The sequence below is a fragment of the Homo sapiens genome, chromosome 12 (assembly GCF_000001405.40).
Source record: "Homo sapiens chromosome 12, GRCh38.p14 Primary Assembly".
Lineage (NCBI taxonomy): Eukaryota > Metazoa > Chordata > Mammalia > Primates > Hominidae > Homo > Homo sapiens.
Genome location: NC_000012.12, coordinates 119,401,359 through 119,418,426, shown reverse-complemented (window position 1 = coordinate 119,418,426; position 17,068 = coordinate 119,401,359). Strand labels below are relative to the sequence as shown.

The 17,068-nt window shown below is 44.7% G+C and overlaps 1 protein-coding gene and 1 long non-coding RNA gene across 9 annotated transcripts in view; one reads left to right on the top strand and one right to left on the bottom strand.

Moving 5' to 3' along the window:
- The window catches only part of CCDC60 (coiled-coil domain containing 60), a 206,312-nt gene that overhangs the window by 122,614 nt on the left and 66,630 nt on the right, over positions 1-17,068 (bottom strand). The window lies entirely within an intron of this gene.
- The window catches only part of PRKAB1-AS1 (PRKAB1, TMEM233 and CCDC60 antisense RNA 1), a 280,141-nt gene that overhangs the window by 249,701 nt on the left and 13,372 nt on the right, over positions 1-17,068 (top strand). Inside the window, exon 3 of one of the 4 annotated variants that reach the window (NR_188490.1) lies at positions 15,997-16,112. The exons of the other annotated variants lie outside the window; for them this stretch is intronic. This is a non-coding gene — a long non-coding RNA (PRKAB1, TMEM233 and CCDC60 antisense RNA 1). The remainder of the gene's footprint in view (positions 1-15,996; positions 16,113-17,068) is intronic. 4 annotated transcript variants of the gene reach the window in all.

Below are 17,068 nucleotides of genomic sequence, written 5' to 3'. Positions count from 1 at the left end.
AAAAAAAAAAAAAAAAAAAAAAAAAAAAAAAAAAAAAAAAGAAAGAAAGAAAAGGAAAAAGAAAGAAAAAGATAATAGCACTGGGTTAATGTGAAATTTCTGTGTTAACTGTATTGTGACTATGAAGGAGAATGTCCTTCGGTAATACATGCTGAAGTGTTTAGGTGTGAAGTGTCTGTAACTGACTTTCAAGAGGCTCAGCTTAAAAAATTGTAAATATACACACATATTATATATATAGTACATACATACATATATACACACATGTATGCATACATACATACATATGAAAAATATGGAAACATGTTAAAAACATGACAAAAAGATAACATTGTGAATTTAAGTTAAGGGTATTTGACTGCCTGTTGTACTATTTTTGCAAACTTTCTGTAGGTTTGGAATCTTCTACAATCTTTTACAAGTTAGGGAAAAAATATGAAGTGACTGAAACCCCAGTTTCAGGTTTTCCTTTGCTGCAGTTAATTTGCTTGGGTCTTCCGTAAATGTCAGTGAAGCAGGACTGCCTTATGGAAGCCGTGCTTTGGGAATAAAGGAAGGGTCTGGGCTTCTTGCTGACATTCAGGGTGGGAGCTTGGATGAAGTTGGGAAACAAAGGTAGGACCCATGCCCCTGAGGCTGGAGAAATTGTGGCCCAGCAGAACCTACAAGTCACCACCTGTCATAGTTTTTTGGTTGATTTGTTTGTTTTGGCTAAGTGTTGAGGCCCTGGCTATGTCAGTACCTCTTCTTGAGGACTTAATTAAGGTCACACCTTAACCACTTCCTTTACTGGGCTCTCTGGGGCCACTATGCACCTGCTCAGGACCAGGTACTAGTTAAATAACTAGGGGGACAGAGCCTGATTGTATCTAATAGAGCAGAAGTAACTCCATAAAAGGAAATTGGGTGCTCTGGGAAGGAGGATTGTATGCCTGCCTGTCAGCCAAAAGCCAATAAAAGAGATAAAGTAAGAGAAAAAGGAAAAAGGGGGGTAGAAAGAAAAATCTTGCTGATGTATTCCAAAAAGTAAAGATAAACCATTTCCTCCTCCAGGCAACATCCCAGGCTGGTTAACAAGATCTCTCTTCCTCAGGATGACTGAAGTTTGGGACCAAATCGCTATTTGTTGTGGGGGATTTTCTTGTACATCATACAATGTAGCATCTCTCCTGCAAGTTACAACAATAAAAATGTCTCCAGACATTGCCAAGTGTCCTCTGGGAAGCAGAATCACCCTCAATTGAGAACACTACTGAGTTAAACTTTGATGAGGGGAGGGGTGGGAATGTTCTTTTTTTCTTTTTTTTAGACAGAGTTTCGCTCTTGTTGCCCAGGCTGGAGTGCAATGGCGCGATCTTGGCTCACTGCAACTTCTGCCTCCAGGTTTAAGCAATTCTCCTGCCTCAGCCTCCCAAGTAGCTAGGATTACAGGCATGTGCCACCATGCCCGAATAATTTTGTATTTTTTTGTATAGATGGGGTTTCACCATGTTGGTCAGGCTGGTCTCAAACTCCTGGCCTCAGGTGATCTGCCCATCTCAGCCTCCCAAAGTGCTGGGATTACAGGCATGAGCCACGTCGACCGGCCGGGAATCTCTTTATAAAGACTCCATTCTAAATCCTGGCCCAACCCTTGATTTGTGGGGAAATTTTTGAAAAAACTCAGGGCACCTGAAAGAAAAAGATAACCAGCAAAATAAGCATTCTATTTAATGCCATGCAATTTATCTGTTCTTCAGTCCTGCTTCAGGCTGGAGCCCTCTTCCCACCTATAGAGTTGTTTTGAAGTAAAAAAAAATCTATTGAGCTGTGTGAGGAAAGCTGTAATCAGCAGGGATTTTTTTCCCCTTCCTAAAGATTCCAATTTTTCTGTGTAAGTTCTATTTGTTCTTTGTGTAAGGGCCTCAGTAATAAAGAACTTCATTTTCTACCCTTGATGGCCATTTTGAATGTAGCTGGATATTCCTCACTGGAGTGTGTTCATGAATGAGACCTCCCTGTTTGTCCCACAGCAGACACTGCCTTATTATTATTATCATTATTATTTGAGACAGAGTCTTGCTCTTGTTTCCCAGGCTGGAGTGCAATGGTGTGATCTCGGCTCACTGTAACCTCTGCCTCCTGGGTTCAAGCAATTCTCCTGCCTCAGCCTCCTGAGTAGCTGGGATTACAGGCATGCAACACCTCGCCCGGCTAATTTGTATTTTTAGTAGAGATGGGTTTCTCCATGTTGGTCAGGCTGGTCTCGAACTCCTGACCTCAGGTGATCCGCCTGCCTTGGCCTCCTAGAATGCTGGGATTACAGGCGTGAACCACTACGCCTCGCCAACACTGCCTTATTTAATCCTCATGCCAACCCTATAAGGAATCCTTATTCCTGTTTTCCTGGAAAGGAAACCCAGTATCTGAGAGGTTAAGTCAATTATTCAAGGTCACAGAGACAGGAAGTGGGAGAGCTCAGTACCCTCCAATCCTTGATACCCTCCCCTCCCCTTATCTAATCCAGGGATCAGCAAACTACAGCCTGCAGCTGGCTTTTGTATATTACAGTTTTATTGGGCACAGTCACACCCATGTGCTTATTACTGTCTGTGGATGTTTTCCTGTTATAACAGCGAAGTTTAGTAGTTATTTCAGAGGCTGCACAGCCTAGAATGTTACCATCTGGCCCTTTCCAGAAAAAGTTTACTAAGCCCTGAGCTAATTTACCAAGTTGTTGACTTTGCTTCCTAGAGAGCTCTCCAGTCTTTTCCCTCCATTGTCTTCCCACCAGTGTCATTCCCACGCTGCTGCAAGCCACCTGGACAACAGACACAGCCTCCGATGACCTCTCTCCTCCATTCTTGTTTTCCTTGTCCATTGTCCACATAGCTGACCCTTCCAAAATGCACACCCAATCCCATGACTCCATTGCCTAAAATTTTCCTTATTGTTTTTAGACTAAAGTCCAAAATCCTTGATGGGAACTACACAGCTCTGTGATCTAGCTCCTGCCTTCAGTGTGATCTTGCATTGCTCCACTGTCCTGATCTCTATGGTCTAGCCAGTGAGCCTCCCTTAAGTGTCTTGCTCATTCTGATCACAGGGTCTTTGCACCTGCTGCCCTTTTTTCCTAGGATGCTTTTGTGCTATCAGTTCACTTTCAATTTGTTAGCTGTGGTTTATCCTTTAACTCTTTGCTGTGATGCATTCCTTGGTCTCTGTAAGCCTGGCAGGCTGTCATATAAGGATGCACAGGTTGGACGCTGCACAACTCTGGAGAGATACACTATTTGCATTTTAGTCTAAGTGAATGGAATCTCCCTTTAATCAGTGAGTGGAAAAAAAGGTGAGGCTAAGTCACCGAAACTGACAAATTATTGAAGAATTGCTACACATCAGCACTGTGCTAAGCATTTTGCATTATCAATCTCATTTACTTCTTCCAACAAACCAATGAGATGGTTATTAAAAAATAACTGTCCCTTTTACAGAAGGAGAAATGGAAGAATAGATGAAGTTGTTCAAGGTTACACAATTGGTCAGTGGTCAGAACCAGGATGAGAACCCTGGTCTTCCTGCATTTAAAACTAGGTTTCAGGCCAGGTGTGGTGGCTCATGCCTGTAATCCCAGAACTTTGGGAGGGCAAGATGGATCAGTTGAGGCCAGGCGTTTGAGACCAGCCTGGGCAACATAGTGAGACCTCTCTCTCTACAAAAAACAAAACAATTAGCTGGACATGGTGGCATGCACCTGTAGCCCTTGCTACTCAGGAGGCTGAGGCAGGAGGATCACTTAAGCTCGAGAGTTTGAGGTTGTGGTGAGCTATGATTGCACCATTGCACTCCAGCCTGGGCAACAGAGTAAAACTCTGTCTCTAAAAACAAAACAAAATGAAATAAAAACAAAAACCAAAACAAGACAAAAAACTTGAGTCCTCAGCCATTAAGCCTCCCTGAAAATTCAGTCTTCCCATCCTTTGAACTGGAAGGAAAGACATTATTCCACTATTTTCTTTCTTAAATCCTTCCTGTTTTTAAAGAAGGGTTTGCTGAGAAGGAAGGTGAGTATGAAGAGGGTTGAGGGAGACACACAGTGAGGATGGCTCCAGCTAATAAAGACAAGAGTGGCCGGGCGTGGTGGCTCACACCTGTAATCCCAGCACTTTGGGAGGTTGCGGCAGGCAGATCTCTTGAGGTCAGGAGTTAGAGACCGGCTTGGCCAACACGGTGAAATCCCCTCTCTTCTACAAAGAAAAGAAGTAGCTGGGTGTGGTGGTGCGTGCCTGTAATCCCAGCTACTTGGGAGGCTGAGGGAGAAGAATCGCTTGAACCCAGGAGGCAGGGGTTGTGGTTAGCCAAGATCGCACCACTGCACTCCAGCCTGGGTGACAGAGTGAGATACCATCTAAAAAAAAGCAAACCAGAGTGATAGACAGTGCAGGGTTAGGAGGGGGCCTGGGAGAAGAGGTGAGGGAGGGGGAACTGACATCCAGAAAAGAACCCACAAGCAGCTAAAGGACTGTATTATTGTTTTTTCCTGTGTGAGGTGCAATGTAACCTTCTCCCTCTCTTCTGTGAACCCTTCAGTAAAATCCCCATTACGCACTGGCACATATGGAGTGGGGACTGCTCTCTGAGGGGCTTGAGGAGCCAGGCCCCAAGGTGGGCTGGGGGAGCAGAGGTGGACAAGGGACGGATTCAGGAGAAAAGAATGTGGAGTCGGAATCCCCTCTCCATGCACCACACCTGCGTGACCCGAAGAAAGTCATCTCTTGTGTACCTCCGGGCTCCCACCTGGCACTGCCTAATCTTCATGCAGGGGCCATGAGGATGCTGAGAGGCCCACTTGGTACACAGGGCTTTGTGAACCAAAACAAGCCAAGGAAATGTCACTATTACTCTCACTATACCAGGAGTACCTGTAGTTTATACACATTGAATCAATTATGAGCTATGAATGAAAAATATAACTTGTGTGAGATCACGAAAATGTTCCCCCCGCGATGCCTTAAGGGCCGAGCAAGACTGTCAGTGACCCGATGGTCAGCAAAAGTAGCGATGCAGCGATATAACAGTAGGTGGCGCTAGATGCCATAGCTTTCAATCAAGTCCTGGTTTCTTTTAATCTCTTTCTCTGCCTCCCTCTTCTCTCACTTGATTGAAATGGAAATTGGCTGCCAGCATCAATGAGCCCCCAGCAGCCCTGAGACTGAGCTGGCATGCCAACAGCCAATGTGTTATCCACCCAGTTAAAAAAATTAATCAAATGCATTAATCTCATAAGCTCTTTTGAAAGACTAGGTATGAGGGGCCAGCAGTCCAGCTGTCAGACCCTGGGAGCTAATGGGAATCTGTACGATGGGCTAGCGGCTGCTGTTCAAAGTCCTGGAGGAGCTTCAGGAAACAGGAGCCCCGGGATGTGACAACCACTCTATTCTGTATCGTGAACCTTGCAAATGGCGTGTCTGGAAATGCGGGAGGCTTGAGATGGCAAATGGGCTCCAATCTGAGCGCTAGCTTCAATCTACCCACGAGTAGTCATTCTGTCTGGAGTGTCCTCCAGTCCAGTCTTATCAGAAGAAGTATCTGTGATTGATTAGCAATGTCTGCCACAGACCCAGTAAGGAACAGCAGCATCAATGTGCCCCATTACCATTCCTGCATGGGGGGGTGGGGGGGGGTGGGGGGCTTTACCTGTCTTTTCTCATTAAATATTCACAGCCACTCCAAAAGTTGATAGCATGATTATCTCTATTTTCTGATTAAGAGAACCGAGACCCAGAGAAGTTAAATAACTTGCCAGAGGTCACCCAGCGAGTGAGTGAGGGCTAGAACCAGAAGTTTAAACGTATCCTGTTGGCTGCAGGGCTCTGTTTATTGCATATTACACCACAGTTTACTTCCTTTCTTGGAAATGAAAAAATTTATTTGGCAATTCATCCTGGATAAATGAAACAAAGAGTGACCTAAGAAAGTATCCTTTCATATTGCCAATGTCCTGATAAGAAGGATGTGTGTTGGTGGTTAAGCCCCCAAGTGGCTTCCATCCGTTTTCTCTCTCCCTGGAAGAAGATAAAGTTGACATCTCTGCAACAATCAAGTGAACCCCCTGAAGGTCCAAAGAAACACAGCCTCCCATTGGCTAATAACTTTTAACCTCATTTTTTTTTTTTAATGTGAAGAGCAGAAGCAGAGCTGAGCTTAAGCCACTGGTGAAAGAGAAAAGAGCCAAGATTCAGGAGAGCTGCTTGGGGCTGGATGAAGCTTGACTCTTGGGCTGAGCTTTAGTGTGACACCAGAGATGCTGGGATATGAATTCTACAATGCTGTCCCCTGGATGCCATTCGATGGAAATTTACATGGATTACCTTTTGAGGCTCAGTGAGGGGCAAGAGCAGCTCACATATTTCTTAAATATCTATTAGGAGTTAGAAAATATCTGAGGATGTGGTGCTGAACAAGGGGCCATCCTTTCCTCAGGGATCTGGTGGTCTAGTAGGAGACACTTAACTACAATGTAGGAAAGTGCAGGCATCAAACCGTGTGGGGGCTGGAAGGGTTGTTGGCAGCGATTCAGACTGTGCTGAACACAAAACTTGGGGGAAAGGGTGTATCGGGGCTCAGAACATGATACCCCAAAACATGGTGCCTTGGCATGCTAAGTATTTTGGATGGAAAGAGATGGGAACAGGCTCAGAAACAAGGTCTCTCTGACTTTCTTTCCACCTCTCCTCTTTCTCTCCCGAGAAGGTCATAGAAACTGGAATTTCTCACCCCCAAGGTGAGAACCAGCTCTGTCTGGTTCCTTCTGTCTGAAACACCTATAGGGCAGAAAAAGTAAAACCTTTTACCTCACCCATCACAAGGGTCTTGGATGACATCACCATAACAAAAGACATATTAATGAGAGAAAAGCATAACAATTTTTTTCTTTTTTTGAGATGGAGTCTCGCTCTGTTGCCCAGGCTGGAGTCCAGTGGTGTGATCTCGGCTCACTGCAGCCTCCGCCTCCCGGGTTCAGAACATGAACGAGGCTTTTCACCCCCAAGCTGGCTCACAGAAACTAGAATTTCGCTCTCCCAAAGCAAGCCATAAAACCTAGAAAGGCTACTGTCTGGCCTCCTCCCTTCCATCCTGATGGTTCTATGTGACATGTTTCTGGTCCCATACCTGGGGGAAAAATGTCTTACAGAGACACAGAAAAGAATCTGAACAAACATGCCTTCCTAAGCACACCTCCCCTTAGGTTTACTACCTTTAGATAACACCCCTTTTTGTCCAATCACGTTTCTCTACAACTATCCACTCTTCTCATCAGACTTAGCATAAAAACACAGTTTTCCCTTGGTCTTTGGGTCTCCATTTCTGAAGGCTCCCATGTTATGTAAAACTTCGGTTAAAAAAATAAATGTGGCCGGGCGCAGTGGCTCATGCCAGTAATCCCAGCACTTTGGGAGGCTGAGGTGTGGGGATCACTTGAGGCCAGCCTAGCCAACATGGCAAAACCCTGTCTCTACTAAAAAAAAATACAAAAATTAGCTGAGTGTAGTGGTGCGTGCCTGTAGTCCCAGCTACTCAGAAGGCTGAGGCAGGAGAATTGCTTGAGCTGGGGAGGCAGAGGCTGCAGTGAGCTGAGATCGCGCCACCGCACTGCAGCCCGAGTGACAGAGCGAGACTCTGTCTCAAAAAAAATTGTTATGCTTTTCTTTCATTAATACGTCTTTTGTTATGGGGATATCATCCAAGAACTGTGATGGGTGAGGTAAAGGGTTTTACTTTTTCTGCCCTATAGGTGTTTCAGACAGAAGGAACCAGAAGGAGCTGGAATGGTTGGAATGCAGAGTATGGGATGTGTGTGTGTGCCTGTGTGTGTGTGTGTATTGGGGTGTGGTGATGAAGGTTTTCCTGATGTCACGAGGCAGGAGAGAACATTCCTGAAGCTGGTAATGCTGTTGAGAAGCCATTTCGGCAAAATCAGCTTAGGGGTGAGGGCCCAGTGAAGGACTGAAGATGGAGCACTGAGTTTTCTGTCATTTCATTTTTTATTACTTTAGTTTTTTTAAAGCAAGTAGTATTTTCAAATGGTTTAAAAAAATGTATCAAAAGGTACATCACTTTTTAAAATGTATTACTTCCACCTTGTCCTCAAACCATTCATTTCCCTCCCTGGAAATGAATAGTGTTATCAAGTTCTTGTGTATCCTTCCAGAGAGATTTGGAAACCACACACACACACACACACAGACACACACACACACACACTCTTTCCAACACTAGCATCTACCTTTCACACAAATACACATGGTAGCACTGTTTGTGTCCTGATTTCCCCTGACATAACAATGTATCTTGGAGAGCGTCAGGGTATTGAGTATCGTGGGACTATAAGGAGGCTGGAGCAGGTTGATGCCAAACTCTTGAGTCTTTGGAGCTGAATCTGGGAACAAGAGTGGTGGCTAAGAGGCTGTCATTAATGCATGGATTGGAGCTCTGAGAAGAGGATGGAATTGGAAGTTAAGGTAAGGAGTGTTGAATTAACTGTCAGAGAGGGAGGTGGGAAAAGAGGGCAGAGAGAGAGAAAGAGTGAGAAGGAGACACACAGAGAGAGGCAGACAGACAGAGACAGAGAGGGGGGCCTTGGAGGGAGGAGGGGAGAAGAGGATACTAAGATTATGAAGATTAGAAGGCCAAAGACTGACACACGGGGAAACTGTCAAGGAACACAGAGGACCAAGAAGATACGGAAAAGCCTGCCTGTTTCTGTAAATAAAGTTTTATTAGAACACAGAAAATGGATATTGAGTGAAATCCCAGTCTTCTATGTTTGCAAAATCTCAAATCATTTATCTTTTTGCATTTCTTAATTGTTTGTTGGTGTGAGGGCTGGAGTACATTTTGGGGACAATAAAGATGTCATTCATTAAGGTCTTGCTGCTGCCTAGTAGCTGCAATACCTCCTCTTCCTCATTGCAAGGGAGACCTTCAGTAGATAACCAGGCAACTTCCCAAGGTGTTACAGAAGTTCTTTTTGGCTGTCACAACTTGCTGGGGGTTGGGGGGTGGTGCATCTAGTAAGTAGATGCCCATGATGCTGCTAAACATCCTACAATATACAGGACAGTCCTTCTTCCCCCACAAAGCCGTATCAGCTCCAAACTTTCAAGAGTGCTGAGGTTGAGCAACACTGTTGCTAAGACAAGAGCTGTGTTTTTATTTTGCCTGGAGATCCCGGGGCACCCAGCACCCAGGTTGGCGATGATCAGGATCTAGGTTTTGCTTTCCCCTACACCGGAGTCTGTGGTAGGCAGCCTCTTAAGATATCCCCCATGATACCCACCTCCTGGTACTCACACTCTTGTATAATCTCCTCCCCTGGAGGTTGGGCTGAACCTAGTAACTCACTTCTAATGACTAGAACATGGCAAAAGTGATGCAATGTCCCTTCTGAGATGAGGTTACAGGATAAACATGGCTTCTGTCTTGGGCACCTGCTCTTGATCTGGGGAAAACCAGCTTCCAAGTTGTGAGCTTCTCTTTGGGAGAGGTCCACATAGCAAGAAACTTATTAGGTTGGTGCCAATGTCATTGCGGTTATTGCTATTACTCTTTGTTTTTTTTTTGAGACGGAGTCTCGCTCTGTCACCCAGGCTGGAGTGCAGTGGCCTGATCTCGGCTCACTGCAAGCTCTGCCTCCAGGTTCACACCATTCTCCTGCCTCAGCCTCCCAAGTAGCTGGGACTACAGGCGCCCGCCACCACGCCTGGCTAATTTTTTGTATTTTTTTTAGTAGAGACAGGGTTTCACCGTGTTAGCCAGGATGGTTTCGATCTCCTGACCTCGTGATCCACCCACCTCGGCCTCCCAAAGTGCTGAGATTACAGGTGTGAGCCACTGCGCCCAGCCCTTGCTATTACTTTTAAATGGCAGAAACCACAACTACGTTTGCACCAGCCTAATACATCTCTAGCCTACAGCCAGAAAGCACCTGATACCAGCCAATAGCCAAGTGTATGAGCTCAGGAGTGAGCCGTCTCCCTGTTGAGTCTTGAAATAACTGTAGGCCCAGCTGCCATCTTCAGTGTGGCCTCAGGAGATCCTGAAGCAGAGGCTCCCAGCTAAGCCATGCCTAGATTCCCGACCCACAGAGATTGTGAGATAATCAATGTTTGTTGCCTTAAGCTGCTAAGGTTTAGAGTAATTTGTCACATAGAAATATGTAACTGAAATACAGCTATACAGGAATAAACTCTCCACAAGAAACAGTTGATGATTTGGGTTACATAAACTCATTTACTTTCTCTTTAGGGGCTAGTCACAAAATTAATAGCTCTTCTTTGACTATAACAGTCTCCCCTATTGGCAAGAAAAATGTGTTGGTCTGTTTCAGGGTGTGAGCCATTAGCTGGCTCCCATATGCATTTAAAAAAAACCTTTTTATTTCTAATAAAATAAAGCAGAGAAAACCTTTTTATTTTTAATTTAATTTAATTTTTTGTCCACGGCCTGGGCATGACTTGGTTGTAAACAAGATCATTCCATAACTGAACTACCACAGGAGACAGTAGATTGTAGTATTGAAAAGCACAGACTTAATCAGACAGACTTGGTTTTAAATCCCAGCTCTGCCATTTGCTAACTGTTTGGGCAAGAGCCATAAGAAATACACCTTCTGGAGTGCCCATTTTATGGGTTAAAAAAAAGCCACTACCAAGGCATGGAGGGGCAGAGTGACTGCATATAACTACAGGGTCAGGAAATGAACCCAGTGGTGATCATTAAGTGAAGAAACTACTGGGTCGTTTCCAAGGTAAGCAAGTAGAACAACAATCTCGGGCTTTCTTAATTGGTACATATGCATGCATGTGTGCTTGGATAGATACAACATATTTTTAGTAATTAATTAATTTATTTTTGAGACAGGGTCTTGCTCTGTCACCCAGACTGGAGTGCAGTGGCATGATCATAGCTCGCTGCAGTCTCGAACTCTCGGGCTCAAGTGATCCTCCTTCCTGAGGCTCCCAAGTAGCTGGGACCACAGGCACGTGCCACCATGCCTGGCTAATTAAATTTCTTTTTCTTTTCTTTTCTTTTCTTTTTTTTTGTAGAGGTGAGTTGTCACTATGTTGCCGAGGCTGATGTTGAACTCCTAGCCTCAAGTAATTGTCCCGCCTTGGCCTCCCAAAGTGCTGGGATTATAGGTGTGAGCCACAGTGCCTGGCCAGATACATCATCTTATAATTTTAATTTTCCTACTGCACTTGGCCACCTGGCTTCTAGTGTTATGCTCCATTTACGTACACACACCCCACCTGGATGGGACATTCATGCCAAGGGCAGTCAGAATATACCCCCCTATGGCCCTGGATGTCCCCTCGGTGTTCTCTGCTGACCCCACTGGCATTGTGGTGACTGTTCTGGCACCTCTCATGACAAGAAGATATTTGTCCTTAGCTGTCCCTAAAGTGGTATTTCCAGCCAGCGTGTTATGAACATTGAATGCTGTAAAGACTCACTGCTGATGAAGGAACTTTACAAACATGAAACCAAAATGCAGCCGTGATGCCTGTCACCATGTCTCAGTCCCTGGAGGAAGTAGAGAAACCCTAGTGTATTGCATCCTCTGGTGCTCTGGCTTCAGCCTGAGGATCAGTGGGGGTATGTAGGTAAGTGGGTGGGGCTGGAGCACCAAGACTTGGCTTATATTCATGAAGTAAAAAGAAAACCAAGCAGCTCCAATTTAAAACCTTTTTTTTTTTTTGCTATATTCAGCTTACCTTTTTATTATGTTTTGTATTCATATTTTAAACATATTCAAAACCACTGATTTAAGCAGCTATTCCTCTTACATTGTAAATGCTGTTTTCTCTCTCCTCCTCTGGATTCTAGCATTGCAATGTATGCGAGGAGTATGACCTTGTCACATTGTGTTTTTGGTTTCAGGCACAATGCCAAACAAAGAGTGGCTTCTTGGCAGTTATTTGTTCAGTGAGTGGATGAAGGGATGAAAATAAAACTTCAATATGTGTTGATTTTTCAACTTTTAGACAACTCAGAGACAAAGCCTGGGAAACTGAATTATGGGTATGGAATGTGAATGCTATTGATCTTGACAATGTAAAAATAGTAATAAAGACGCAAGGGGAGCTGATGAGACCCTCATCTCTTCCACAAAGTAAGGAGTCAAAGACGCTGTCTAGGGTGAATGAGGCAAGAAGACCCCAACTCTCTCTCTCTCTCTCTATATATATATATCTATATATATATATATTTTTTGAGACAGAGTTTCCCTCTTGTTGCCCAGGCTGGAGTGCAATGGCACGATCTCTGCTCACCACAATCTCTGCCTCCCGGGTTCAAGCGATTCTCCTGCCTCAGCCTCCTGAATAGCTGGGATTACAGGCATGTGCCACCACTCCCAGCTAATTTTGTATTTTTAGTAAGGGCGGAGTTTCTCTATGTTGGTCAGGCTGGTCTCGAACTCCTGATCTCTGGGGATCCGCCTGCCTTGGCCTCCCAAAGTGCTGGGATTACAGGCGTGAGCCACCACACCCAGCCTCATCTATATTTTTTAATTACAGAATTAACCACTAGGGGAGCTGAAGGTAAGGCTACTTTTGGAGGGTGGGAGTTAGGGGTGGGGAGTGGTGTGGGGATGCGGTAACTAGATCCTCATCTTTCACAGCAGAAAATTATTCAAGTTTTAAATGCATAAACTAAGAAATACACGTAAAACTTATATAATTTAGAGGCACGGGTCATTGGAGGAAGTAGCAAAAAGTGTTAGACACGGCTGCCCTGAGGGATGGCATCAAGGATGAGAAGAGGGCAGGGAAGAGGGACTCCTGCTTTACAGCAGAAGATTTTTGATGATATTTGTTTTTGGTTTTTTTTAAATCTGAGAATGTTTTACATTAATTTTCTAAAAACTAACAGAGTTTGAGAGCCCTAGTTGGAGTTAAAATACAGAGCCCGACTTTGTTACCGTGAAAATCAACAAGCACAACAAGCCTTGTAATATCCATGCTCATTTCAGAGTCAAGACAAAATTAATTTGGAAAAGAAAATACAGCCGGGGAACAGAGTTAGCAACCTCAGGAAATTCAAGGAAATGTAATTGAGTAAGAATTATCTCCTTAATTACTTATGACCAAATCAATAACAACGCTGGATGAGAAACCGCAGTTGCCACCAATGAGGATCAAGTCGCTGAGAAACCAATTGGGGTTCAGGCTTGTTTGAAAAGCAAAACACCTTCCTCTTGGTTGTTAGCAAACACGGTTCCTGGGGGTGTGCACGGAGACAGGAGAAGGCTGCAGTTTGCAGCCTGGGGTGGAGAAATGAGCTGAACTTGCTTATTATTTTCAAACGTGAAAGCCTGAATAGAGGAGCTCCTTTCTCCAAAGAGGAGCAAGCATGGATGCCCTTGATGATGTCAAATGCTCATTTTCATGCTTTCCTGGGGTTAATCAGAGACCCAAGCAGGTTCATCATGCAAATTAGAAGGAGGTGAGCCAAGTGCCTCAAAGGTAGGTGAGGGAGCATTTTTGTTTGCAGATCACAAGCTTTTTGTGGGAACTGCAAAGATTTCTTTCAAACCATCTCCATGTGCCTTTGGGGAGGGAGTGGTGAGGATCTTTGTCTCTAAGGGGCCCTGCTGGGCACGACCCTCTAGATCTGTCATGGTTTTGGAGCTGGGTTAAGATCTTATCTAGAGCTGAGATTCAAGAGTGCCCTATCTGCCTAACCTCTGACAGACCTACCTGTCCTCATCCCTGTTGGGGTCTTTGGCAACTAACCAGGACCTTCTCAAGTCCATCTCACACTTGGTGCCTTGCTCCTTGCTCTTCTGACCTGTGGACTTGTCAATAAATCATCCTCACTGTCCAGATATTTCTCCATTCAAAAAGGTCTTCCTGAGCCCCTCTGGGGGTCCCAGCTCAGAGCTAGGAAACACACACCCACCCCCAAACTCCCTCTCAGGGTCTCATTGATGGCAGGGTGGTGGGGGGGAGGTAGGCAGATAATTAAGCAGTTATGATATCATATGATGTAGCTGTGGTGGGAGTGAGGGAGCTGGAGGTGTGAGCACACAACTGACCCAGCAAGGGTGGAGGACAGTCAGAAGGATAAACAAAATGACTTTTTATTTTTTTTGGAGACAGAATCTCACTCTGTCAACCAGGCTGGAGTGCAGTGGCGTGATCTTGGCTCACTGCAATCTCAGCCTCCCGGGTTCAAGTGATTCTCCTGCCTCAGCCTCCCAAGTAGCTGAGATTACAGGCATATGCAACCATGCCCAGCTAACTTTTTTGTATTTTTAGTAGAGACAGAGTTTCGCCATGTTGGCCAGGCTGTTCTCGAACTCCTGACCTCAAGTGATCTGCCCACCTCGGCCTCCAAAAGTGCTGGGATTCTAGGCATGAGCCACTGTGCCCGGCCTAAAGGAAATGACTTCTGAGTACAGTTCTAAAGGATGAGGAATGATTAGTATGTGAGGTGATGGATATGTTAATTAGCTTGATTCAATCATCCCACAATGTATACATACATCAAAACATCACGTTGTATGCCATAAATATATACAATTTTTCATTTTTCAATTGAAAAAATAAATAAAAGAAGAGGAAGGAGGAAGATGTGCCAGGCAGAGGGGACAGCATTTGCAAAGATCGGGATGGAGGTGAGTGAGAACTTGATAGTGAAGGTGGCTCAGTCCAGCTGGAGCATAGCAATAGGGTTGGTGGAGGGGAGGGGTGAGGAACAAGGGAGCGGTAGAAAGGGCCAGTCATGATCGTGACAGCAGCTGGGATCTGGGATTTTATGCAGAGGGCACAGGGGGAAGATGGGGCTGAGGGGTTTGAGTGTGGCTGCTGGGACTCTCCCCAGGCCACTGTGATTGGGAGTGGGACACCAATTTGTAGCTGGGTGATTAAAGCCCAATGTTATGCTCTTGGACTGCAAGCCCAGGAAATCTGCAACTTGGTGATTAAAGCTCGACGTTATGCTCCTAGACTCCAAGCCCAGGAAATCTGCAGACTGGCAGCTAGACGGTACTAGTTTCCTCCCAGGCATAGATGCTCCAGTCAACTCCCCATGGGAGCCTTCCTCTCTCACCTTCCATCCATGTGGCTTCGGAGGTGAACACGGGATGCAGGCCCAGCCAATCAAAATATTCCACCTCCCTGGCTGCAGGGAGGATCTTATTTTTTCATGAGTCTGAGACCCAAAGAAAAACCAAGGTATTTAGTCTCAGGACATTTGCTGCTGCTCTTGGGAAAGAGAAGATCTCTTTCTGCTGGGGTTGCTCCCATGGAAGAATGTGAGCCTAGAGCTCTTGGCGACTATCTTGGCCATCAACTTGGTAAAGCCTGCCTGAGAATGAAGGCAACACAGAAGAAAGAAGAGTATGTATCTGGAGATAATGTTCGAACACTTGGAACTCATTATTCCTAAAGCTAGGTTTATTTGTGGACTTTTTGTTAATCTTAGATAATTAGTTTTCTCTTTTGCGTAGGCCACATTGAATTGGGGTTTTCTATCATTTGCAACTAGCAGGATCTTGATTTGACCACAATTTTGTTAGCATATTGCAAATATTTTTGTCAAGACAACCCCAAACTACACCCCTGGAGAGTTACACTAGTTCTCTGTGGCTAAACCAAAATCCATGGGAGATCTTTCATTTAAAAATTATCAGAGATCATCAGCGTTGAGAGATTACCCAACACAACACCTCCATCACATGACAGACACACTAAAAACAGCTGCCATTTACCTACTAAGTGTCTAAGTGCATACTATGTGCTACCCACTTAGTTTTACACATATTATTTCCATTTACCCTTGCAATATATTTTGTGGGATAGGACTGCTATTATCTCCATTTTACAGATGAGAAAACAGGTCCAGAGAGGTTAATTTCCAGTTACATGACAGAGTAAGGAACAGAGGTGGGGTTCAAACACAAACTGCACTTTGGCTCCAAAGCTTGTACTCTCTCTGCTTCACCAACAGATGTGCAATCTAAGACTCAGAGAAGCTGGAGAATTTTCCTAACGTCACACAGCAAAGGAATGGAAGACTCAGGACAAGAATACACGATCCTCTCCTTCCAACATGTCACCCAGCAGGTGCAATAAGTCAAAGGGCAGGGTATGGGATTTGGAGTCATACAGACCTGAGTTCACCAGCCAGGGTCTTTGGCAGATAAGATTACTCTTTGAGCCTCAGTTTCCTTGTGTGCAAGGTGAGAATAATCACAAAGCCTACTTCATAGGCTTGTGATGGAGAATCAACACAACATCACATGCAGGCCCAGCCAATCAGAATATTCCACCTCCCTGGCTGCAGGGAGATCTTATTTTTTCATGAGTCTGAGGAAGGAACATGAGGCTGCACCTCCAGTGATGGACGTGATGTGTGTATAAAGTTCTTAGGACAGAGCCAGGTTTATGGGGGCTCTCAATAAATGTTAATTGTGAATGTAATTGTTACAATTAATAAGCTGTGCTGTTAATGAAGGTATAAAATGCAGGTGATCTGCCACATGACCACAGGCTAGTTGCTGAATTACAGCGGCCATTGGTCCCACTGGTAAAATAGGGTTATTATCTGCCTTTTGCTCATGACACCAGGGCGTTACAAGAATTAATTAGCAGCTTTACAATGTACTGTGCACTTTGATGCTCTATAAACAGAGAAATGTGATGGTTGAATATTTGTATGATATCCATTATTGAGGATATCTTGAATTGGTTTACTGATGTTAAAATAAATTCAACCTTCCAAAAGTGGATAAATCTATCTGAGTCAAACAAAAGAAGACTGGGTTTTAATTATCTGCCAACACCTTAGAAACCTACAACAACTGGACATCTGGACATCCATAGGCTGAGCTCAATGCCCTTGTCTTGAACGTAGAAAGAGATGCTGAGATTGTCGGGCTGTCTCTTCCTCTAGATCTGAGCTCCTTCGGGGCCAAGATTGCGTCTTGTCTTGCAGTAGATCCCCAGCCTTGAGTACAGGATTTGATACGCAGCAAGTGCTGGATAAATGCTTGATGAATGAAAGGATGGATGGATGGACA